General features: G+C 40.6%; 1 protein-coding gene across 1 annotated transcript; it reads left to right on the top strand.

The window, feature by feature from the left end:
* Positions 18635-21694, top strand: TCEAL5 (transcription elongation factor A like 5). The gene is made up of 3 exons (NM_001012979.3): positions 18635-18712; positions 20043-20110; positions 20795-21694. The coding sequence occupies exon 3, from the start codon at positions 20822-20824 to the stop codon at positions 21440-21442; it is 621 nt and encodes a 206-aa protein (NP_001012997.1). The 5' UTR covers positions 18635-18712; positions 20043-20110; positions 20795-20821; the 3' UTR covers positions 21443-21694.

Here is a 26375-nt window from a genome sequence, read left to right as displayed (position 1 = left end):
ACAGGATAAAATGTAAATATACAAAATATGTTGTGTTTCTATAAACCAGCAATGAACAACCTAAAAAGGAAATTTAAAAGCACCTTCACTTATAAAAACATCAAAAACAATAAAATACTCAGGAATAAATTTAGCCAAGGAGGTGTAAGACTTATATACTGTAAACTATAAAAGATTCTTGAAAGATATTTAAAAGATCCTAAATAAATGGGAAGACATCCCATATTTAGGAATTAGTAGACCTAATATCATTAAAATGGCAATGCTTTCCAAATCAATCAACAAATTCAATGTAATTCCTGTCAAAATCCCAGTGCCCACCTTTTTTTTTTTTTTTGCAGAAACAGAAAAGAAAGCAAATATAAATATAAGGTAGAAAATAAATAGAAACTAGAGTGGAAAAGCCAGTACTAGAATTAATATGGAATCACAAGTATTTGTGTGTGTGTGTGCTTATAACATAGATTCTGAATTAACTTTAACATTTGGTAAAATGCATCAGTTGACAGAACTTCATGGACTTAGTACTGGTGTTCAAAAGACGGTTATTCCTGGGGATCCCACTAAATTTAAACATGGTATTCCTTATAATCTTATGAAAGTAACTAAATATAAGATAGTGAAAAATAGGTATGCGTCATTTTAACTATGGCCTTGCCAAAATTTTCCATACTAGGCCAGCATTAGGTGCTGTTGCTCACACCTGTAATCCCAGCAATTTGAGAAACTGAGATGGGAAGATTACCTGAGGCCAGGAGTTCAAGACCAGCCTGGGCAACATAGCAAGACTCCATCTTCACATAAAATAAGAAATTAGCTGGGCATAGTGGCACATGCCTGTAGTCCCAGCTACTCAGGAGGCTGAGGTAGGATCTTGAGCCCAGGAGGTTGAGGCTGCAGTGAGCCTTGATTGTGCCACTGCGTTCAGCCTGGGTGACAGAGTGAGACTCTCCCTCAAAAAAATTCCCATAGTAATAAAATCCATTGTCCTAATATATCCCATAGTGGACATAGATATTCTGAAACAATGAATAATACATTAAATTTAAATTAAATCTTTTGTATTTACAAAGTGACTTGATAAAATGGGACCCCATGCACTCCTCGGTCAAAATAGCTAAGATGGTCCAATATAAATTAAAACAGGGCCTTCAAGGATTAAAACTTATTGTATAAGACATAATTAGTGGGTAATTATCTCCACTGCTTCTCCATTTGTAACCCAATCTTGCCTGTTCTTAAACCTAAAGAAAAATGAGTGGTACCCCATGGTGATTACTATAACCCTAATGCTGTGGTCCTATCCATTAAGGCCCCCAAATCCAATAGTCGATATTATTAAAACTACTAACTCCATCTAATCAGCAGGCAGTAAATATTTTGCCATTATAGCTTTGACTAGTATGTTCTATTCAGTGACTGTTTCAGTAGCCTCTCAGCTGCAGTTTGCCTTCCCTTTCAAAGAGATATGATACACCTTTATTAAGCTTCTCATGAGGTATCTCAATAGCTTTGTCATTGTGCACAATTTTTATGGACAAGATCTTATCTGCACCCAGCTTTCTCCAGGAATACAGCCATGGCATTACATTGATAACATCTTCCTAGGAGATTCATTTGACATACTCATTAAGGACATACAAGTCCAACATCCTTAAGTTATTTTGGGGTTTTGGAAGCAACATATTCCTCATTTGCAAATTTTACTTAATCTCACTGATGCTGCCACTTACAAATCAGCCCAATCTAAATGAGATATTCTCTAACAGAAGGCTCTAAAATTTGTCCAGATTGAAATCAACAGACACTTCCATTAATGCCCTCAGAGACTCCTTCACTGGAAAGATTTCACCAACTTCAACTTCTTCTCATGCCTCCTGGTATCTCTGAACTACCTATAATGGCCATAAATTGCCCATAGCCTTCTGATATGAAAAACTGCCTTTCTCAGCTCTGTGCTAGACACCATGAGAGTAAAAATTGCTGGGCATATACCAGGCTTCTCTGAAAACAGAGGCTCTCATAGACCCTGAGCCTGTGATCTTTTGTACCCAGTTGCTCAATATGCCCTGGATAATGGACACAGCACATCGCAAGCTTGGCACAGTGATGGAGGCCTCCTTGATACAGGACAGAGCCAAACCTGGGTCCTCTGATATATTCCACCTGCAGGAGGGGATGGTATTCCCTGTCCTCAGTCCCTTGCCAGATGCCATGTTCATGGAGGTCACCCCTCTCCAAACCCCTTAGCTACCTGGCGACCCCCTTAGGATTAACTGAATGAAAAACAATGGGAGTTAATAGACTACAGGGGAGGCGTTGCCACTATCATAAGTTATGGAGCTCAGTGGAATGGGTCTGCTTTTCATCCCTTAGCCAGGAATTTCCTGACAAAGAATGTGAACCAAGGATCAGCACAATTGGTGAAACTACAGGCAGTCATATTAGCACTGGATGCCCTGGTTAGCAAATGATCAGGACATTTCTACAAACTCTTGGGCCATTGCCCAAGAGGTTTTCCCTTAAAGGTAAAGAACTTTGGGAATCTCTAGCCTCATAGACACATCAAAATCCCACATGTCTCTACATATACTAAGGCCACAATACAAGGTCTCACCAGGGCACTCCTTATCTTCTTTGGAGTTTCAGACATTTCTGATAGTAACCAAAGTACACATTTTGTATCTCAAAATACATAATGCTGGGCTCTTGGAAAAGGCATTCAATAGAACTTTTGACTCCCTGATGGGTCCCAGCTAGCCAGTTTTATCAGAAGAGATCTAATGGTTTCCACAAACAACTCATTTTAAAACTCCAGTCTGGTATATGGACCACTAAGTGGGTTTTGCTGTTACTCCAGGCCTTAATCTCTCCTAATTTAAGGTCTTTGGCCATCTCATACCTCACAACATTAAAAAAAGAAAACCTTTTCATCACCCTTTCGTGTATTCAAAGAGGGATATGTGTCACCTCCATGCTTATGAAAACTCATTATATATGTGCGGCCCTTTAATATTGTCTCCTCCTATCTTTATGGATTTTTAATCCTGCACCATCCCATAAGTGCTGGAGGCCAGGTCAAGGGTGCATGCTCTCCTAAGATCTGTTAACCATAGATTGTCTCGTAGGTCAGGCCCTTGCCCATCTTATATGAGAACCATTTGTGACTAAACTTCTACCACCCAAAAACCATTATTAACATTTGGGTTATAAGGCATGGATAATTAATCTGAGATCTACCTCTGCTCCCATCCAGAAAATTAAAATTAGTGCTCAAGAGCTAACAACAAACATTGCTCAAGAGTCCCACAGACAGTGTGGACTACCAAGAAAGGAGGTAGAAAACTCCTCTTAGCAAATGAAAATCACATTTGGAGAGGGTAATGGAATCAACACCAAATCTCATAATGGCAAAACCAGACAACACCTCCTTGATAATAATGCACGTGAGGGGAGGAGAGAATCAACATCAAGAAACAAAAGTCTGTCATATACAGCTACACACCTTTTTATTGGATATTGATCTTATTACTATTGGTCTGGATGCTTTTGATGGTTTGCAGTCCAGAGGCCAAAACCTGAAAATAATTCATCGTTTCAACTAAACCTGGCAAATACTGAGGCCCACATGCCATCAAGATTGGCTAATAGAAGCCCTACAGCCCAAACACCTCACTGACTTTTCCTTCACCAACTGAACTGACAACTGAGGCAAAGATTCCACAGTCATTGGTTAAACGGTAGGGACTGACTACAGACTAGTGCTAAAATTCCAACCCTGGCCGAAGATATTTTAATTGGCAAACAACCTGACACCATATTAACAACATGCTCCCAAATCAAGCCATATGATTTAAAGTCTTTTTACAGCAGAAACTCTCTCATCAACCATCTGGGCAAAACCTTGGACTGTTGGGAGCTTTGAGATTTAGCCATCCTCAATTAGGGCTTTATTTGTGTCAGTCAAATTCTAGGACTTTACTCCAATTACAACAGTATTTTGGATACTGAATCACTTTTGCTACTTGTGCATCCACAAAGCCCCCTGACTTACAAAATACCTGCAAGATCTCAAGTTAGCAAACTAACCTTACAACTTAAGGAAATAGAAAAAAAAAAGAATAATCTAAAGTCAAAGTTAGCATAAAGAAGGAAATAAGATTAGAGCAGATATAAATAAAATAGATTAGAAAAACAATAGAGAAAATAAACCAAACCAAGAGTTACTTCTTAGAAAAGATCAAGAAAATTGACAATGTGTAGCTAGGTTGACTAAGAAAAAGAAGATTCAAATTACTAAAATCAGAATGGAAGGTGGAGCATTACTGTTGAATTTATAGAAATGATAAGAATAATAAGAGTACTATGAATAATTGTACACCAAAAAATTGGATAACCTGGATGAAATGAAAAATTCCTAGAAATGCAAAGCCTACCAAGAATAAATCATAAAGAAATAGAAAATGTGAATAGATCTATAACTAATACAGATACTGAATCAGTAATCAAAAACCTTCCAACAAGGAAGATTTGGACCAAAGTCTTCACTGGTAAATTCTACCAAACATTTGAAGAATAATTAACACCAATCCTTCTCAAATGCTTCCAAAAAATTGAAGAAGAAGGAATACTTCCTAATTCACCCTATCAGGCTAGCATTACCCTGATATCAAAGCCTGGTGAAGGCAAAACGAGAAAAGAAAAATACATACCAATATCCCATGTGAATATTGATGCAACAATACTCAACAAAATACTAGTAAATCAAATTAAGTAGCATATTAAAAGGATTACACACTATGACAACGTGGGCTTTATTCTGTGGTTCAAGGATTGTTCAACATATGAAAACCAATTGATGTAATATATCACATTAACAGAATGAAGAAAAAACACATAATCATCTAAATTCATGCAGGATAAGCATTTGGCAAAATTCAACACACGTTCTTGATTTAAAAAAATCAACATACTAGGTGATGTAGTTTGGTTTGTTTGACCCCAATGAATCTCATGTTGAAATTTGATTTCAAGTGTTGTTGGAGGTGGGATCTAATAGGAATATTTTAATACTGTTAGGATGTAAATACTACTCAAAATGATACACAGATTCAGTGCAATCCTTACCAAAAATCAAATACTTTTTTAAGAAATAGAATAATATTTCCTAAAATTAATATAGAATCAATCTAAAAGAGCGTGAATAATCAAAATAATCTTGAAAAAGAACAAAGTTGGAAGTCTTACACTTCCTGAATTCAAAAATTACTACAAAGCTACTGTATTTGTCTGCTTGGGCTACCATAGCAAAATACCATGGACTGGGTGGCCTAAACAACAGAAATTTATTTTATTACAGTTCTGAAGACTGGAAGTCCAACATCAAGGTGCAAGCAAACTTGGTGTTTGGTGAGGGTTCTCGCTTTGTCCTGCAGATGGCTGCCTTCTTGCTGTGTGCTCACAGGACCTCCTCTTTGTGTGCATGCTGGATGGGGCTGGGGGGAGGAGAGAGGACATGTGAGAATGCTTTCATGCTTCTTCTTATAAGGGCACTAATTCTATAGGATCAAGGCCCCACCCTTATGACCTAATTTCCAATTAATTGCCTTCTTACTCCAAATACAGCCACACTGGGGATTAGAGCTTCAATATATGAATTCTGGGTGAACAAAAACATTCAGTCCATAAGACTTGCAGTAATCAAAACAGTGTGGGTGGTACTGGCAGAAAGACAAACATAAAGACCAATGGAGTAGAACTGAGAGGACAGAAATTAACCCTCACATATATGGTCAAATGATTTTTGACAAAGGTGCTAAGACCATTCAATGAGGAAAGGGCAGTCTCTTCAACAAACGGTGGTTTAAAAAAAAAAAACCTCTAAATATCCACATGCAAAAACATGAAGTTGGACCATTGCCTTTCACCATATACAAAAAATAACTCAAAATGGATCAAAGACCTAAATGTAAGAGCTAAAAGTGTAGAAATCTTTAAAGGAAATACAGGAAGAAAACTTCATGGCATTAAATTTGGCAATGATTTCTTGGATATGCCACCCAAAACGCAGGCAGCAACAAAAAATAGATAAATCGGACTTCTCTAAAATTAAAAACATTTGTGCATTAAAAGACGCTATCAACATGGCATAAAGGCAATGCACAAAATAAAAGAAAATATTTACAAATCTTATATCTGATAAAGGGTTAATATCCAGAATATATTAAGAACTCCTCCAACTAAATAACAACAAAAAGCAGGTAATCTAATTCAAAAATGAGCAAAGAAAATCATACTGAATGAGCAAAAGCTGGAACTATTCTCTTTGAGTACTGGACTAAGATAAGTATGCCTACTTTCACCACTCCTATTCAACATAATACTGGAAGTCCTAGCCAGAGCAATCAGGCAGGAGAAAGAAATAAAAGGTATCCGAATAGGAAAAGAAGAAGTCAAACTATCTCTTTTGCCATCTATATGATGCTATACATAGAAAACCCAAAAGACTCTGCCAAAAGGCTCCTGGAACTGACAAATGAATTCAGTAAAGTTTTAAAATTTTTGTAGAGATGGTGTCTTGCTATGTTGCTCAGGCTGGTCTTGAACTCCTGGCCTCAAGTGATCCTCCTGCCTTGGCCTCCCAAAGTGCTGGGATTATGGCAGGAGCACTGGGCCTCCCCCGTCCAACTTTTTTTTTTTTGATCCAAACAAAAATTTTATTTATTTTTATTTATTTATTTTTTTAATTACACTTTAAGTTTTAGGGTACATGTGCACAACGTGCAGGTTTGTTACATATATATATACATGTGCCATGTTGGTGTGCTGCACCCATTAACTCGTCATTTAACATTAGGTGTATCTCCTAATGCTATCCCTCTCCCCTCCCCCCAACCCACAACAGGCCCCAGTGTGTGATGTTCCCCTTCCTGTGTCCATGTGTTCTCATTGTTCAATTCCCACCTATGAGTGAGAACATGCGGTGTTTGGTTTTTTGTCCTTGCGATAGTTTCCTCAGAATGAGGGTTTCCAGCTTCATCCATGTCCCTACAAAGGACTTGAACTCATCATTTTTTATGGCTGCATAGTATTCCATGGTGTATATGTGCCACGTTTTCTTAATCTAGTCTATCATTGTTGGACATTTTGGATGGTTCCAAGTCTTTGCTATTGTGAATAGTGCTGCAATAAACATACGTGTGCATGTGTCTTTATAGCAGCATGATTTATAATCCTTTGGGTATATACCCAGTAATGGGATGGCTGGGTCAAATGGTATTTCTAGTTCTAGATCCCTGAGGAATCACCACACTGACCTCCACAATGGTTGAACTAGTTTACAGTCCCACCAACAGTGTAAAAGTGTTCCTATTTCTCCACATCCTCTCCAGCACCTGTTGTTTCCTGACTTTTTAATGATTGCCATTCTAACTGGTGTGAGATGGTATCTCATTGTGGTTTTGATTTGCATTTCTCTGATGGCCAGTGATGATGAGCATTTTTTCATGTGTCTTTTGGCTGCATAAATGTCTTCTTTTGAGAAGTGTCTGTTCATGTCCTTCGCCCACTTGTTGATGGGGTTGTCTGTTTTTTTCTTGTAAATTTGTTTGAGTTCATTGTAGATTCTGGACAGTAGCCCTTTGTCAGATGAGTGGGTTGCAAAAATTTTCTCCCATTCTGTAGGTTGCCTGTTCACTCTGATGGTAGTTTCCTTTGCTGTGCAGAAGCTCTTTAGTTTAATTAGATCCCATTGGTCAATTTTGGCTTTTGTTGCCATTGCTTTTGGTGTTTTAGACATGAAGTCCTTGCCCATGCCTATGTCCTGAATGGTATTGCTTAGGTTTTCTTCTAGGGTTTTTATGGTTTTAGGTCTAACATGTAAGTCTTTAATCCATCTTGAATTAATTTTAGTATAAGGTGTAAGGAAGGGATCTAGTTTCAGCTTTCTACATATGGCTAGCCAGTTTTCCCAGCACCATTTATTAAATAGGGAATTGTTTCCCCATTTCTTGTTTTTGTCAGGTTTGTCAAAGATCGGATAGTTGTAGATATGTGACATTATTTCTGAGGGCTCTGTTCTGTTCCATTGGTCTATATCTTTGTTTTGGTACCAGTACCATGCTGTTTTGGTTACTGTAGCCTTGTAGTATAGTTTGAAGTCAGGTAGCGTGATGCCTCCAGCTTTGTTCTTTTGGCTTAGGATTGACTTGGCGATGCGGGCTCTTTTTTGGTTCCATATGAACTTTAAAGTAGTTTTTTCCAATTCTGTGAAGAAAGTCATTGGTAGCTTGATGGGGATGGCATTGAATCTGTAAATTACCTTGGGCAGTATGGCCATTTTCATGATATTGATTCTTCCTACCCATGAGCATGGAATGTTCTTCCATTTGTTTGTATCCTCTTTTATTTCATTGAGCAGTGGTTTGTAGTTCTCCTTGAAGAGGTCCTTCACGTCCCTTGTAAGTTGAATTCCTAGGTATTTTATTCTCTTTGAAGCAATTGTGAATGGGAGTTCACTCATGATTTGGCTCTCTGTTTGTCTGTTATTGGTGTATAAGAATGCTTGTGATTTTTGTACATTGATTTTGTATCCTGAGACTTTGCTGAAGTTGCTTATCAGCTTAAGGAGATTTTGGGCTGAGACAATGGGGTTTTCTAGATATACAATCATGTCATCTGCAAACAGGGACAATTTGACTTCCTCTTTCCTAATCGAATACCTTTTATTTCTTTCTCCTGCCTGATTGCCCTGGCCAGAACTTCCAACACTATGTTGAATAGGAGTGGTGAGAGAGGGCATCCCTGTCTTGTGCCAGTTTTCAAAGGGAATGCTTCCAGTTTTTGCCCATTCAGTATGATATTGGCTGTGGGTTTGTCATAGATAGCTCTTATTATTTTGAAATACGTCCCATCAATACCTAATTTATTGAGAGTTTTTAGCATGAAGGGCTGTTGAATTTTGTCAAAGGCCTTTTCTGCCTCTATTGAGATAATCATGTGGTTTTTGTCATTGGTTCTGTTTATATGCTGGATTACATTTATTGATTTGTGTATGTTGAACCAGCCTTGCATCCCAGGGATGAAGCCCACTTGTTCATGGTGGATAAGCTTTTTGATGTGCCGCTGGATACAGTTTGCCAGTATTTTATTGAGGATTTTTGCGTCGATGTTCATCAGGGATATTGGTCTAAAATTCTCTTTTTTTGTTGTGTCTCTGCCAGGCTTTGGTATCAGGATGATGCTGGCCTCATACAATGAGTTAGGGAGGATTCCCTCTTTTTCTATTGATTGGAATAGTTTCAGAAGGAATGGTACCAGCTCCTCCTTGTACCTCTGGTAGAATTCGGCTGTGAATCCATGTGGTCCTGGACTTTTTTTGGTTGGTAAGGTATTAATTATTGCCTCAATTTCAGAGCCTGTTATTGGTCTAGTCAGAGATTCAACTTCTTCCTGGTTTAGTCTTGGGAGAGTGTGTCGAGGAATTTATCCATTTCTTCCAGATTTTCTAGTTTATTTGCATAGAGGTGTTTATAGTATTCTCTGATGGTAGTTTGTATTTCTGTGGGATTGGTGGTGATATCCCCTTTATCATTTTTTATTGCATCTATTTGATTCTTCTCTCTTTTCTTCATTAATCTTGCTAGCGGTCTATCAATTTTGTTGATCTTTTCAAAAAACCAGCTCCTGGATTCATTGATTTTTTGAAGGGTTTTTTGTGTCTCTATTTCCTTCTGTTCTGCTCTGATCTTAGTTATTTCTTGCCTTCTGCTAGCTTTTGAATGTGTTTGCTCTTGCTTCTCTAGTTCTTTTAATTGTGATGTTAGGGTGTCAATTTTAGATCTTTCCTGCTTTCTCTTGTGGGCATTTAGTGCTATAAATTTCCCTCTACACACTGCTTTGAATGTGTCCCAGAGATTCTGGTATGTTGTGTCTTTGTTCTCATTGGTTTCAAAGAACATCTTTATTTCTGCTTTCATTTCCTTATGTACCCAGCAGTCATTCAGGAGCAGGTTGTTCAGTTTCCATGTAGCTGACCAGTTTTGAGTGAGTTTCTTAATCCTGAGTTCTAGTTTGATTGCACTGTGGTCTGAGAGACAGTTTGCTGTAATTTCTGTTCTTTTCCATTTGCTGAGGAGTGCTTTACTTCCAACTATGTGGTCAATTTTGGAATAGGTGTGGTGTGGTGCTGAAAAAAATGTATATTCTGTTGATTTGGGGTGGAGAGTTCTGTAGATGTCTATTAGGTCTTCTTGGTGCAGAGCTGAGTTCAATTCCTGGATATCCTTGTTAACTTTCTGTCTCGTTGATCTGTCTAATGTTGACAGGGGGTGTTAAAGTCTCCCATTATTATTGTGTGAGAGTCTAAGTCTCTTTGTAGGTCACTAAGGACTTGCTTTATGAATCTGGGTGCTCCTGTATTGGGTGCATATATATTTAGGATAGTTAGCTCTTCTTGTTGAATTGATCCCTTTACCATTATGTAATGGCCTTCTTTGTCTCTTTTGATCTCTGTTGGTTTAAAGTCTGTTTTATCAGAGACTAGGATTGCAACCCCTGCCTTTTTTTGTTTTCCATTTGCTTGTTAGATATTCCCCCATCCCTTTATTTTGAGCCTCTGTGTGTCTCTGCACGTGAGATGGGTTTCCTGAACACAGCACACCAATGGGTCTTGACTCTTTATCCAATTTTCCAGTCTGTGTCTTTTAATTGGAGCATTTAGCCCATTTACATTTAAGGTTAGTATTGTTATGTGTGAATTTGATCCTGTCATTATAATGTTAGCTGGTTATTTTGCTTGTTAGTTGATGCAGTTTCTTCCTAGCCTCAATGGCCTTTACAATTTGGCATGTTTTTGTAGTGGCTGGTACAGGTTCTTCCTCTCCATGTTTAGTGCTTCCTTCAGGAGCTCTTTAAGGCAGACCTGGTGGTGACAAAATCTCTCAGCATTTGCTTGTCTGTAAAGTATTTTATTTCTCCTTCACTTATGAAGCTTAGTTTGGCTGGATATGAAATTCTGGGTTGAAAATTCTTTTCTTTAAGAATGTTGAATATTGGCCCTGACTCTCTTCTGGCTTGTAGAGTTTCTGCCGAGAGATCAGCTGTTAGTCTGATGGGCTTCCCTTTGTGGGTAACCCGACCTTTCTCTCTGGTTGCCCTTAACATTTTTTCCTTCATTTCAACTTTGGTGAATCTGGTAATTATGTGTCTTGGAGTTGCTCTTCTCCAGGAGTATCTTTGTGGCGTCCTCTGTATTTCCTGAATTTGAATGTTGGCCTGCCTTGCTAGATTGGGGAAGTTCTCCTGGATAATATCCTGCAGAGTGTTTTCCAACTTGGTTCCATTCTCCCCGTCACTTTCAGGTACACCAATCAGACATAGATTTGGTCTTTTCACATAGTCCTATATTTCTTGGAGGCTATGTTCATTTCTTTTTATTCTTTCTTCTCTAAACTTCTCTTCTTGCTTCATTTCATTCATTTGATCTTCCATCACTGATACCCTTTCTTCCAGTTGATCGAATCTGCTACTGAGGCTTGTGCATTCATCACGTATTTCTTGTGCTGTGGTTTTCAGCTCCATCAGGTCCTTTAAGGACTCCTCTGCATTGGTTATTCTAGTTAGCCATTCGTCTAATCTTTTTTCAAGGTTTTTAACTTCTTTGCCATGGGTTCAAACTTCCTCCTTTAGCTCAGAGTAGTTTGATCATCTGAAGCCTTCTTCTCTGAACTCGTCAAAGTCATGCTCCATCCAGCTTTGTTCTGTTGCTGGTGAGGAGCTGCGTTCCTTTGGAGGAGGAGAGGCGCTCTGATTTTTAAATTTTTCAGTTTTTCTGCTCTGTTTTTTCCCCATCTTTGTGGTTTTATCTACCTTTGGTCTTTGATGATGGTGATGTACAGATGGGGTTTTGGTGTGGATGTCCTTTCTGTTTGTTAGTTTTCCTTCTAACAGTCAGGACCCTCAGCTGCAGGTCTGTTGGAGTTTGCCAGAGGTCCACTCCAGACCCTGTTTGCCTGGGTATCAGCCACGGAGGCTGCAGAACAGTGGATATTGGTGAACAGCAAATGTTGCTGCCCGATCATTCCTCTGGAAGTTTTGTCTCAGAGGAGTACCCGGCGGTGTGAGATGTCAGTCCGCGCCTACTGGGGGGTGCCTCCCAGTTAGGCTACTCAAAGGTCAGGGACCCACTTGAGGAGGCAGTCTGTCCGTTCTCAGGTCTCAAGCTGTGTGCTGGGAGAACCCCCTACTCTCTTCAAAGCTGTCAGACACGGACATTTAAGTCTTCAGAGGTTTCTGCTGCCTTTTGTTTGTCTATGCCCTGCCCCCAGAGGTGGAGTCTACAGAGGCAGGCAGGCCTCCTTGTGCTGCGGTGGGCTCCACCCAGTTCGAGCTTCCTGGCTGCTTTGTTTACCTACTCAAGCCTTGGCAATGGCGGGTGCCCCTCCCCCAGCCTCGCTGCCACCTTGCAGTTCGATCTCAGACTGCTGTGCTAGCAATGAGCGAGGCTCCGTGGGCGTAGGATACTCCAAGCCACGCATGGGATATAATCTCCTGGTGTGCCGTTTGCTAAGACCATCGGAAAAGGGCAGTATTAGGGTTGGAGTGACCCGATTTTCCAGGTGCTGTCTGTCACCCCTTTCCTTGGCTAGGAAAGGGAATTCCCCGACCCCTTGTGCTTCCCTGGTGAGGCGATGCCTCGCCCTGCTTTGGCTCAGGCTCGGTGCACTGCACCCACTGTCCTGCACCCACTGTCTGACGATCCCCAGTGAGATGCACCCAGTACCTCAGTTGGAAATGCAGAAATCATTTGTCTATTTGTCTTCTGCGTCGCTCATGCTGGGAGCTGTAGACTGGAGCTGTTCCTATTCGGCCATCTTGGCTCCACCCCTCCACCATCCAACTTTCTATCACTATATTTTGCCCTATATTTTCAACCATGATCATCTATGCCTTTTACAAACAATATCACTAACCTTTACATATATTTTACTAAACTATTAATTCATATCCTCCAACAACATTACTGGCCCTGTCACCTTGACCTAATTAATACACCAAAATATTATTATAATAAAATATATATAATTTATGTTTAAAGCCCACTTTACAATGCCACTAAAGATGTTGTTAGGGATCCTGAAAATTTCAGATCTATGTTCTTGCCTAATGGCATATAAATAGGAAACTTTGTTATGACTGGCTGACAAAAACTTCTTAATACTTCCACATATTTTCCTCCTGTTTACTTTCATAATAAAATGTTTTTTATGCTGTTTAGGGCAACTTTTGCCCTAGTCTCTGAATATCTCCTCTACACTTCAGGCCAATCAAATGCTCTAAATAATCGAGCTCAAAATGGATGTCAAGACATCAAGGAGTAAATTGTAATGTATTTTTTATATTAATGCTGTCGTGGCCTATTGTTGAGGCCCTGGTTAGAGGCCTGTCAGTTCCCCTTCTTGGGCTGCTGATCAACTCCACACTCTATCCACTTCACTTATCAGGTGTTCACGCTTTGGGCCGCTTCAGACCAGCCCTATCCACCTAGGGGCCAGGTATAGACAGCTAGGGACAGCCCTTATACCCTGGAGCCTGAGAAATTATTCAAGTTAGCCATTACTCAGGGAGCCAGTGAAACCTAGCTAATCCCACCCCACTTGCCATAAGTAAGCTGCTCCTTACAGCTCCAATTTGCTGTTACCCAGATGCAACCCCCTGTGTGGTCTTGCCTGGTAGCCTTCTCTAGTTTGGAGCCATAAGTAACAAAAGTTCTTCCTTTCATTTTTCCAAGTGACCGTGTGTTGTGTCCTGCCATCAAAATAATCTTAAAATCTTATAAAACAACCCTAAATTACACCATATAAAAATTAACTCAAAATGAATCAAAAACCTAAATGCAAGAGCTAAAACTATGAAACCCTTAGAAGAAAGCAAAGGGGTAAATCTTCATGACCTTGGATTTGGCAATAAATTTTTAGATATGACACCAAAACCATGAACAACAAAAGAAAAATAGATGAATTGGACTTCTTCAAAATGAAAAACTTTTGTGCATAAAAGGACACTATTAAGAAAGTGAAAGAGAACCTATAGAATGGGAGGAAATATCTACAAACCATATATCAAATAAGGAACTAATATCCAGAATATATAAGAACTATTACAACTCAACAACAAAAAGCCAAACAACCTAATTAAAAAATGGGTAAGGATATGCAGAAGATTGAGACTGGATCCCTGCTTCCTTACAACATATACAAAAATCAACTCAAGATGGATTAAAGACTTAAATGTAAAACCCAAAACTATAAAAACCCTGGAAGACAACCTAGACAACACCATCCTGGACATAGAAATGGGCACAGGTGTCATGACAAAGACACCAAAAGCAATTGCATCAAGAGCAAAAATTGACAAACGAGATTTAATTAAACATAGGAGCTTGTGTATGGCAAAAGAAACTATCAACAGAATAAACAGACAACCTACAGAATGGGAGAAAATATTAGCAAACTATGCATCTGACAAAGGTCTAATATCGAGCAAGTATAAGGGACTTAAACAAATTTGCAAGAGGAAAAACAACCCCATTAAAAAGTGGGCAAAGGACATGAACAGACACTTCAAAAGAAGACATACATGCAAGCTCAATATCACTGTGGAAAGCAGTGTGTCGATTCCCGTAAGAGTTAAAAACAGAACTACCATTTGACCCAGCAATTCCATTACTGGGTATACACCCAGAGGAATGTAAATCATTCTACCATAAAGGCATATACACACGAATGTTCACTGCAGCACTATTCACAATAGCAAAGACATGGAATCAACCTAAATGTCCATCAATGACAGATTGGATAAAGAAAATATAGTACATATACATCACGGAATACTATGCAACCATAAAAAAAGAACAAGATCATGTATTTTGCAGGAATATGGATGGAGCTGGAGGCTATTATCCTCAGCAAACTAATGCAGGAACAGAAAACCAAATACCAGATGTTCTCACTTACAAGTGGGAGCTAAATGATGAGAACTCCTGAACACAAAGAAGGGAACAATAGATATTGGGACCTACTTGAGGGTGGAGGATGGGAGGAGGATGAGGATTAAAAAACTACATATTAGGTACTATGATTATTATTTGGCTGATGAAATAAAGTGTATACCAAGCCCCTGTGACATGCAATTTACCTATGAAACAAACCTGCACATGTGTCCCCAAACCTAACATAAAATTTAAAAAATAAAAAATAAAAATTGGCAAAGCACTTGAATAGATATTTCTCCAAAGGAAATATACGAATATCCAACAAACCCAAGAAAAGATACTCAACATCATGGGTCATTAAGAAAATGCAAATCAAAACCACTTCTCTCCCACTAGGATGATAAACATAAAAAATAGAAATTAACAATTGTTTGCAAGGATATGGTAAAATTGGAGTCTTGCTGATAGGAATGCAAAATGTTGCAGTTACTGTGGAACACAGTTTGGCGGTTTCTCAAAAATTTAAACATAGAATTACCATATGACCCAATGATTACACTCCTAGCTATATATGCAAGAGAAGTAAAGACATACACCCACACAAAAACTTATACATAATTGTTTATGGTAGCATTATTTATAACAGCCAAAAGGCAAAAACAATCCAAATATCTATCAACATACAAATGGATAAACAGAGTGTGGTATGCACATAAAATGAAATATTAATTCATAAAAAGGAATGAAGTATTGCACATGCTACAATGTAGATGAACCTTGAAAACATTATGCTAAGTGAAAGAAGCCAGACACAAAAGGTCACATATTGTACAATTCCATTTATGGGAAATATCTAGAATAGGTAAGTTCATAAAGATGGAAAGCAGATAAGTCATTGCTAGGGACTAGGGGGAAAAGGGAATTGAGAATGACTGCTTAATGGGTATGGGGTCTCTTTTCAGATTGATGAAACTGTTTTGGAACTAAATAGAGGGGATGGTTACACAATATTTTGAGTGTACTATACATGTCACTGAACTGTACACTTTAAAATGGTTAATTCTATGTTATGTGAATTTCTCTTTTAAATAGAGAATAAAGATAGCACGATTTGAAAAAAATGTATACAGAAGTATATTCTTTGGGTCAATGGCCTTCATCTTTTTAATATTACATACCCCTTTGAACATCTAATGAGAGCAACGGAACCTATTCTCAGCAAATGTGCACATACAATAAAAATGTATATATCCAGCCTGGGTGCGGCAGCTCATGCCTGTAATCCCAGTGCTTCGGGAGGCTGAGGCAGGGGGCTCACTTGAGGTCAAGAATTGGAGACCAACCTGGGCAATGTAGGGAGACACTGTCTGTACAAAAATTTAAAGAAATTAGCTGGGAGTTGTGGCGTGCACCAGTAGTCCCAGTTACTCAGAAGGCTGAGGTGAGAAGATCCCTTTAGCCCAGGAGTTGAAGGCTACAGTGAACTATAAATGCACCACTGGACTCTAGTCTGGACAACAGAGTGAAACCACGACCACACACACACACACACACACACACACACACACAAGTTTGAACATAATTTTAGGGGATTCATAGTTTAATAATGCCTGAACCCAAGGAATAGATGAGCTCTCTTTAACATGGCTCAGCTGCTATTTGTGTCTTCCCCTTCTTATCTCTTTGTCAAGTAGCTTCTTCTTTCTGTCCTTTATGGTTTCCTCTTTTTCATGATGTCAACTTGCTTATATAAAATAAAAACATACATCCACACAAAAACTTATACGTGATTGTATATGGCAGCATTATTTATAACAGCTAAAAGATGAAAATGCCTAAATATTCATCAACATATGATGGATAAACAGAATGGGGTGTGCAAATAGAACAAAACACTATTCAGGCTCCTAGGGTACAGATCTTCTTCTCACAAGAGTGTGCATACTCCACTACTTCCTAAACATATGCAATTTTACATGCCCTTTCAGGTGGCCCACAGACTTCATCAATTGGGAATACTTGGTCTAGGTCAATATGGACAGCATGGCAGAACTCCTTAGACACTGGCCTAAATTTGCTGAGACAGTCATAGGTTAGTATGGACTGGCAGGCAGCAATCCTGCAGCAAGGTTAGGCTCCCTCTGGGTTCCCTGAAGATACAGAGTTTGGGGGTGAGAGGCCCGCCAGACTGCACTTTTTAGGCTAGGCGGGAGGTAACAGACAGGGTCTAGGGAGGCTTCCACTCAGGCACTGTGAATAAGGGCAGAGAGCAGGCAGGTTGCAGGGGACTCTACCCCAGCAATCACTTCAGGCCTCATGAACACCCTCAGCTGCAAGGGTCTAGAAGAGATCTGTTCTAGTTTTCTAGAGGCATGAACAATGCTCCACTCTGTGCTGGGGCTGGGTTATCCCTGTGGGAATTAGGGGGAGGGAGGAGGGAAGGAGCCAAAGGCATTTACTCATATCACCACCTTGGTCACCTGTCCAGTTATATTCTTGGACAGATGACTCTTGAGCAACAGAGTCATGTGCCTGGGGATGAGAAATGCAGGGGATGAGAAATTCTAGAATATGAGGGGGTGGAGAAGAACACCTTCCCCTGATCTTGGCAGGGCAGGGAGGATAGGACCATTTCTGCATCCTTCACATCTCCTGCAGCCTTGGTCTCACAGCTCTTCCCTTCCCCTAGAGCTAAACATTTGAATGAAAATAGCCATGAGCCAAATTTTTTAAAGAGACATTTTTGAATTTTCTTTCAACCATCAGATTCCAGCAAGTCTATTTAGCACTCAGTAATCGTTTGGGAACATTAAATGTGTGTGTGTGTGTGTGTGTGTGTGTGTGTGTGTGTGTGTGTGTGTGTTAAATAGAACGTGAGAGAACCAGCTATTTATGAAAAATTTCTAATGTATATTTTGCTTGTTGCCAATTGAATTCCTTGTGTATATGGCAAAAGTTAATATTATGAACCTAATTTGGTCTCTCTTCTGAGTAGAAAATTTTGAAATCTTTTAAGTTTTTCTCTCTCTTAAACACTTTCTCATAAATGAAATAGCTTTATTTAATTTTGTGCTTATAAGAATAACCCATGCTGAGGAGAGTGAATTAAATAAGATCAAAAAAATTTAAAAAAATAAAACCCCTATTTTAACTACTTGTGTCCCTACTTGACAATCCACCTTGTACCCATTATGAGAAGGTCTGGTTCACAGGCAGAATGAACATCAGTGGCTGCGTGTAGAATTAGATCGAGTAGGTGCCTTCGGATAAAAGGAGAGAAAGAAAAAAAATTCCTCTGAGATGTACCAATGGCCAATAGCTCTAGAAGAAGGTGCGGTCCCTCCCTGATAACCACGGAAGAATAAATACATACTACACAGAGAAAGGGCCACATTTGACCTGTGGGATTAGCAAAGACCAAAATGAGTGACAGGGCCCCGTGCTGTGGGGCGAGAGAGAGAGCTAAGCCGGGGTTGGGGGTGCTGAGGGCGCTCAGACGGACAGACTAGTGAAGGGAAGAAGTGGGCTGGCTCCTGACGCACTTTCTGCGGGTGGGAGGGGAACTAGGGACCCGAGCCCACTGGTGACGTTTTTCTCACGTGATCTGAAGCCGACGTGTGCAGAAGTCCCTCTCCTCCAGGTACCAGATCCCTGTTTCCGTGGAGGAAGGCAGACTTCAGACTGAAGGACAGAGAAGGCAACTGCCCTACAGCCCTGCAGGTCGGTACAAGCCGGGGACCCCTGAGGTAGGGATGGTAATGCACATAGGCTACAGAGGATCGGATCTGCTTTCTAGATACCGCCCTGTTCCACCCCCATTCATTTTGGCGCAGAAATTTTTTTGTGTTGGGCAAGAGGTATGGGTACCAGCTTTTATTTCCCTGGAGAAGTGCAGGCTTCTGGCAGAAGGAAATGTGAGAAAGAGTCATTTCCCCGAGATGGCTACGAACCCATCCACAGCCTGTGGATCCCTGTGGTTGGGATGGCAGAGGGCAAAGACCAGAGCGGGTCCAGGACTGGATTCTCTCCACTCCTTTCCCGATGCTCACTCATTTGGTGCAAGAAATGGAGGGCTTGGTGCGGGGCGGGGAGGGGGGAGGGGGGCGGAACTCGAGAGAGGTCAAGGGTTGAGAATTGGGTACCAGTTGGGAACTCCTAGGAAGCCGGCGACCGGGTGATGTCTGATGGAGGAGGAGGAGGACCAGGGAAGAGAACAGCGACGAAACGGCGAGAAAACGGCCTGATCCCTGCAAGGCAGCGGGAGGCGGGCACAGTCAGTGACCCCAGGCTGCTGAGGGCGGACCCTGCAACGGGTCCAGGCCTGAGTTCCCTGTGTCTTTTCTCCAACCTCCCTCCATTTTGGAGCCGGAAACGGTGGGCTAAGGGGGTCAGGGGAAGGAGGTGCTGTAGAAAAAGGGAGACAGAGGTTTGATCTGGGGATCAGCTCCCTATCCAGGAGGAGTGGCTTCTGAAGTAGGAGGATTGAGATGAGGTAGCAGCAAGACCAAAAATGTTACCGGGTTTGGAAATAATTTGTCTCTTGCATTGCAGAAAAATGTGGGCTTTCTGTGTATGTGGGGAGGGAGGAGGTGGCAGGAGTGTTTTGGACATTTCTGCCCTGCCCCCTATCTCTGTCATCACCATTTTCAGAGAAGTGGTGGGCTCTGCTATTTGGCTACCCTAGGGTGAGGGATTTGGAATGTAGAGATCTGAGTGCATCAGAACACTCTGTCTTCAGAACATCCTTGTCTCTAACCCTACTCATTTTCGTGCCAGAAAAGTGAGATAAAAATTTGGGAGGAAGATTCAGAAACATAGAAACGCTTTGGAAATAATCTTTCTCGCCTATTTCCCACAAGTAGAACAATGGAGGCTCTTAAGAAAGAGCTGCGCGCGGAGGGGGAATCAGAGAATGCAAGGGAAAAGGCGAGGAGGTGATAGGAGCTCGGAAAGTTTTGACAAATACGGTCCCAAAGAACCAGTGTCCAAGTTACCAGTCATTCACTTTCTCAATTTCTCATTCACCCACCTGTTTCTTGTCTTTCTGCAGGTCTTCAAGTCTGTGGTTGTGGGCACTAACCCAGACAAGAAAAGGAAAGACCTGCAGTATCGGTGCAGGTCAGTGGGAGAGGGCTACTGCACCAGGACCCTTGGGAGTAGGAGTAACTTAAGCCAGAGCAGAAGTTGGGGAGGCCACTGCCTGCCACCCCTCCTCCAATCCTCCCTCTTGCAGTTTCGGGATACATGACTGCTGTCAAGACCCTAAGGGGATATGGTGATCTATGGCTGGTGAGGATAGAGGGGAGAATAAGAAAGTAAGAGAATGGAGGTGTAGCATCTGTGATGCCCCCTGAGGACATAAGGGTAGCCCTGAAATCTGAGAACTGGCTATGGTTCTGTTCTGTCTGCAGTTTTATAAGTCTTACAACTGCATGCAAGGGGAAAAAGAAGAAAACTGCCCAGGATTTCTGCAGGTCCGTGTAAATTGGAACTACCCAGTTAAAATTGGTATGGGTAGGCATAGCCAAGGCCAGAGCAAAGTTTAAGGGCCAATATGCTCCTACGCATTTCTCAGCACATCCTCCTTAAATGTAGGGAGAAGCACCTGTGGAAGTTTCTGTAAGGTTGGCTTGTGTGAACATGTGTAAAGTGAAAAGGAAAGGAAGGAATGTAAGGGTGGGAGTGCACCTGGAAGATGGGATAGGGCCAGGAAAACCCTAAGTTAAGAAAGACAAGTACTATAAGGACCTGTGTTCAACCCCCAAAGCCCTCAGTGTCCTGTGTCTTCTTTTTGTCTCCTAGGAAAGGCAAAGAAGGGAACATCTCAACATGGAAAAGCTCTACAAAGAAAATGAAGGAAAGCCAGAGAATGAAAGAAACCTAGAAAGTGAGGGAAAGCCAGAGGATGAGGGAAGTACAGAAGATGAAGGAAAGTCAGACGAGGAAGAAAAGCCGGACATGGAGGGGAAGACAGAATGCGAGGGAAAGCGAGAGGATGAGGGAGAGCCAGGTGATGAGGGACAACTGGAAGATGAGGGAAACCAGGAAAAGCAGGGCAAGTCTGAAGGTGAGGACAAGCCACAAAGTGAGGGCAAGCCAGCCTCCCAGGCCAAGCCAGAGAGCCAGCCGCGGGCCGCCGAAAAGCGCCCGGCTGAAGATTATGTGCCCCGGAAAGCAAAAAGAAAAACCGACAGGGGGACGGACGATTCCCCCAAGGACTCTCAGGAGGACTTACAAGAAAGGCATCTGAGCAGTGAGGAGATGATGAGAGAATGTGGAGATGTGTCAAGGGCTCAGGAGGAGCTAAGGAAAAAACAGAAAATGGGTGGTTTTCATTGGATGCAAAGAGATGTACAGGATCCATTCGCCCCAAGGGGCCAACGGGGTGTGAGGGGAGTGAGGGGCGGAGGTAGGGGCCAGAAAGACTTAGAAGATGTCCCATATGTTTAATGTCTTTGGCCTTTAATTCTGATTTCTCTGATGGGAATATTGCCAGTCCTGCTTTTCCTGGCAGGCATTTGCCGGCCTATGTGCTTTAACCTTAAGCTGATACTTTCCTTTAGGTGTCACTCTTGTTACCAGCAGACTTTTGACCCAACTACAGTGCTCTGTCTTTTAGTAGAGGATTTTCACCCATGTGCATGGAATAAATGTTCATGGTACATTGTAAAATAACAATAAAAAAGAGTTTTCAGAACCATGTATACAGTATCAGCCCATTTCTGAAAAAAAATGTTTACATAATATATCCATACATGGGGGACACTATGCAATTGAGTAGATCAAAGAGAAATCATGAATTTCTTTGTGTGGTGGGACTGAAAATTATTCTTTTTCTCATCTGTACTTCTTTTAAATCTAAAAAGCACAGGCTATTTTTGTTTTAAAGGAAGTAATAAAAGGTAAACAAAATAGGAAAATAGTAAATACTAGGCAATCAAAAGAACTATTCATTGATCATATTAAGGCAGTGGAGACAAAATTCTTGTTAGAACACAAAATGATAGATAAAACTCACATTACCCCTGGGACTTGAAGTTGGAGGAATCAACCTGGCAGTTACTACAGATTCATTGCTATAAGAGACAGCCTTGTGTGAAATGGGGCTGAAACTTACCTCCCAGGGCTGTGGAGTAGATCAGATGTGACGCTTGAGTCTGTGACCTATGTTAGGCTGGCTCCTGCCCTCTCCCCTGCACTAACAGTACCAAGTCAGACAGTTGGTGAGGGTATGGAGTGTTGCGGAGGGAGGTCTCACCTGTGCCTAAAAATAGGTACAGGAAGCTGAGAGATAGTTGCCACTTTCCCCTGGGTAATGCCACATCTGTTGGGCATTGTGCCCCCTCTCCAGGGTCCTGCACCCTCTAAGGCCCCAGTTGTTGCTGGTGGGCTAGAGTCTTCAAGGTAACAAAGCCCTTTAGATTCACCTGAAGTCCCTGGTGAATTGAATCCCCAATAGGTTCCCTTCTGAACTGTGGAGAATGTCCGTCTTCTCTCTTTATAGTTATGTTAATACTGACGAAATGTGGGAAAAATGCTTCGTAAAATCTTAATATATTTGTCAGGCATTATAATTACCCCACTAGACTTGCCCTTTAAAGCAAAGAGTTTATCTTACTCATTTTGTTACTCCATAGAACATAATAGAAGCTTAAAAAGTAACTACATTAATTATTGAGTCAGAAGGCCTCAGTTCTTGGCCCAGTTCTGCCCCTGACTGAATACATAGCCTTGAAACTGTAATGTTATTCTTTAGCTACTGAAACTTGCCACTTCAAAAGGAACACAGCGGGAGATGGATTATATCAAAATTCATTGCTAAATGATTTTAACATTGGATATAGTAGTGTTTTTCAAAGTTTGCTACTTACTAGCAGACCTCCTGCATCGAAATCACCTAACTATCTTGTTGAAAATGCAGGATCCTGGCTCCCACCTCAGACCCAATGCGTCAGAATCGCTTCTGATTTGTCTCCACAATATGTGTGTGTGCGTTTGTGTGTGCGTGTCTGCATGCATCTTTTGCTTTTAGCTCCTTTTCATTTTTATCAAATGAATACACACACAAATTTTTAAAATCCTATAGCACAAGAGTTTTTTTTAATTATTAAAACCTGCAGTTTTCCTTGCCATTCCACATTCCCACTCCCCAGAGGCTACTACCATAGGCAACTACCATAAACATTTTCGTTTTATTCTGGCATTTACCTCCATCTTTCTGAATAATATGTATATGTTGCCATTTCCTTTTTAACAGCTTTATTAAGAGGTAATTCACATGCCACAAAATTCACCCTTTTACAGTATACAATTCAGTGGTGTTTAGTATATTAGCAGACTTCTGAAGTCATTATCACTATCTGGTTCCAGGATATTTTCATCACCTTCAGAAGAAATCCCATATCCATTAGCACATAATGTCATGCCCACTCCCCTGTTCTCCTAGCATCTGGCAAGCACTGACCTCCTTTCTGTCTCTACGGATTTGCCTATCCTGGACATTTCGTATTAATTGAATAATACGATATGTGGCCTCTTGTGTCTTGCTTCTTTCACTTGCCATAATATTTTCAAGGTTCATTCATGTTGTAACAGATATCATTACTAAACATTTGTATACATATTTTGTGTGTAGATATGTTTTTGATTCTCTTGTGTATACACCTAGGAGTGGAATTGCGAAGTAATGATAACTCTATGTTTAAATTTTGAGGAACTTCCAAAACTGTTTTCCAAAGCAACTATGGTATTTGACAATTCCACCAGCAGTGTAGGAAGTTTCCAATTTCTCCATATCCTCAACAACACTCGTTATTGCCTGTATTTTTGATTAAAGCCATCTTAGTGGATATGAAGTGGCGTCATATTGTGGTTTTAATTGGCATTTTTCTAATTGCTAATGATGTTCATCATCTTTTCATGTGCTTATTGGCCATTTGCATCTCTTCTTTGGAGAAATACGTATTCAGATCTTTTGTCCCTTTCTAAATTGGACTGTTTTCTTATTGATGAGTTGTGAGAGTTCTTTGTTTATTCTGAACATAAGTCCCTTATCAGATATATGATTTGCAACTGCTATTTCTTGACTTGTTTATTTTAGTCATTAAGATTTTCTGATATGATAATGGAGTAATTCTTTCTTACCATCATAACCCCCATTGTCTATTGCCTACCCCCAATATAGCTTTACCACATACAATGTTTATTTTAGCAAGCATCCCAGTGACTCTGTTGCTTAACTTTGAGGACCATTTGTGTTTGTCAGGTTAGGCTAAGCTTATGCTGAGGTAGCTAAGAGTCCCAAAACCTCAGTGGCTTAACACAACAAAGGTTTCTCAAACTTCATGAAGGTTGGGGATAGAGAAGCCCTGCTCCTCATAGTCTGTCAGGGATCCATTGCAGCAAAGAAAGAGAGTGTATGAGGATCTCACAGTCACTTTTCTACACTGTGGTCTAGAAGTGACAAAAATCACCACTATTCATAGCCCAGTTCTTCATATTTCTAGCTCCTTTAATTCTGACAAGATTTCTCAGAGAGCTGTTATTTATGCCCTCTATATAGGTGATTGATTTCTGAGAGAGCTGTTATTTATGCCCTCTATATAGATGATTGAACTGAGGCTCAAAGAGGAAAATGATTTATTCGATGTTCCATACCAACAAAGAGAAGAGCCAGATTGAAATCCAGGTTTATCTGGCTCTAATGCAATAATTCTTAACTAGTTTCCTTTCCTTTACTTTTTTTTTTTTTTTTTTTTTTTAGACGGTGTCTTGTTCTGTCACCCAGGCTGGAGTGGAGCGGTGCAATCTCGGCTTACTACAACCTCCGCCTCCTGGGTTCAAGCAATTCTCCTGCCTTAGCCTCTTGAGTAGCTGGGATTACAGACACATGCCACTGTGCCTGGCTAATTTTTGTATTTTTGGTAAAGACGGAGTTTCATCATGTTGGCCAGGCTGGTCTTGAACTCCTGACCTCAAGTGATCCACCCACCTCGGCCTCCCGAACTGCTGTGATTTCAGGCGTGAGCCACTGCGCCCGGCCAGTTTCCTTTCCTAAACCAAGGATTTCATTTTCATTTTCACTTTATTGTCCAACCAGTTCTTTAGGATGTCAAAAAAGTGATAATGTTTCCTTGGATGACAAACCTAAAGAACAAGGCTCACAATGGCATTGCTGCCTCCATCATCAATGCCTTAGAAAGGCATTTTCACACCAATTCACAGCTTGACTATACTGGCCCCGAAATTGTAAACTGTTTCTGTAGTGAATGTGGGTATTCAGACAAATGGTAACATCCCTTTTATTTTGAATTGTAGGAACGCATGCTCCTACAGGCAAGGTCTTTTTGCTTGGGGTTCCTTAAATTTTGGGGCCTGAGTTGATTCAAACATCAGAAGCATTGTTCCAAGGAAACACAGAACTGAAATCACCACATAAACACCAAAACAGGTCTAGGCACAGTCAAGGCTCTTCTGAGAGTCTGAGCAAAATAGGTTGGGATTATTTTTCCAACTACATACCTACCCAAACTGTTCTAGGGGCTGTTTCTCTGCACTCTGAGAGAATAGTTCAACCCTCCTACCTTAACCCCAAATTATTTGGTCAAATTCAGATTGCAGCTGGCTGTGACAAGGACAAATGCTTTAAATTTTTTATGCTGTGAAGTTTTATATCCATTCCTACAAAAGTCTCCTACATACCCCAAAAGGAAAGAGGACAGGGAAAAAATGCGAAGCTTTATGACAGAAAAATGAAAGCAGTTCTTAACACTGGAGACTATTGAATCTATCGCCAGTTCTTTCAAGCCAATAGGAAATGGCCAATGATGCTAAGCACAACCATGTAATAGAGGATACGAACCTTTCTTCTCCCTAATTTCTCTCCCAAACCTAGGAAATGTTTTTGGGATAAGGAGAAAAATGTTCCTAAGAATAGACTCCAACTGCCTGTCTGCTACAAGCTCCTAGAGCAAAAGGGTATATGTTGTTTATGGGAACCAAAGGGAACCTTAAATTGAATATACTATATAAGTTGTAAAATGAACAAGACAATTGCCAGTTTCAGCTCCAAATGGAGAGCTGAAAACAATATAACTTACACATTTACAATAGGGGAAAAAGTTGGATAAACTGCAATATAACATTTTTTCTTAAAACCACCAGAGAACTCAGGTCACAGGGCAAACAATTATCCTCAAATCTAGAGAAAGACACTTGGGGAGAGAAATAGTAGTAACCAAGCATTTCCTTACCTGAAATATATACCATCAAATGCCACGTAGGTCAGTTAAAAAAAATTGAGCTAGAAATTGTCAATGGATTTCTGAAGACTGAGTGAGGACCAGCATGAGAGTATGTGAAGTCTCTGAGGGTCACAGACATA

This window comes from Homo sapiens, chromosome X (genome assembly GCF_000001405.40).
Source record: "Homo sapiens chromosome X, GRCh38.p14 Primary Assembly".
NCBI lineage: Eukaryota > Metazoa > Chordata > Mammalia > Primates > Hominidae > Homo > Homo sapiens.
The sequence above is the reverse complement of the archived record's forward strand: the minus strand, read 5'-3'. Positions and strand labels throughout refer to the sequence as shown.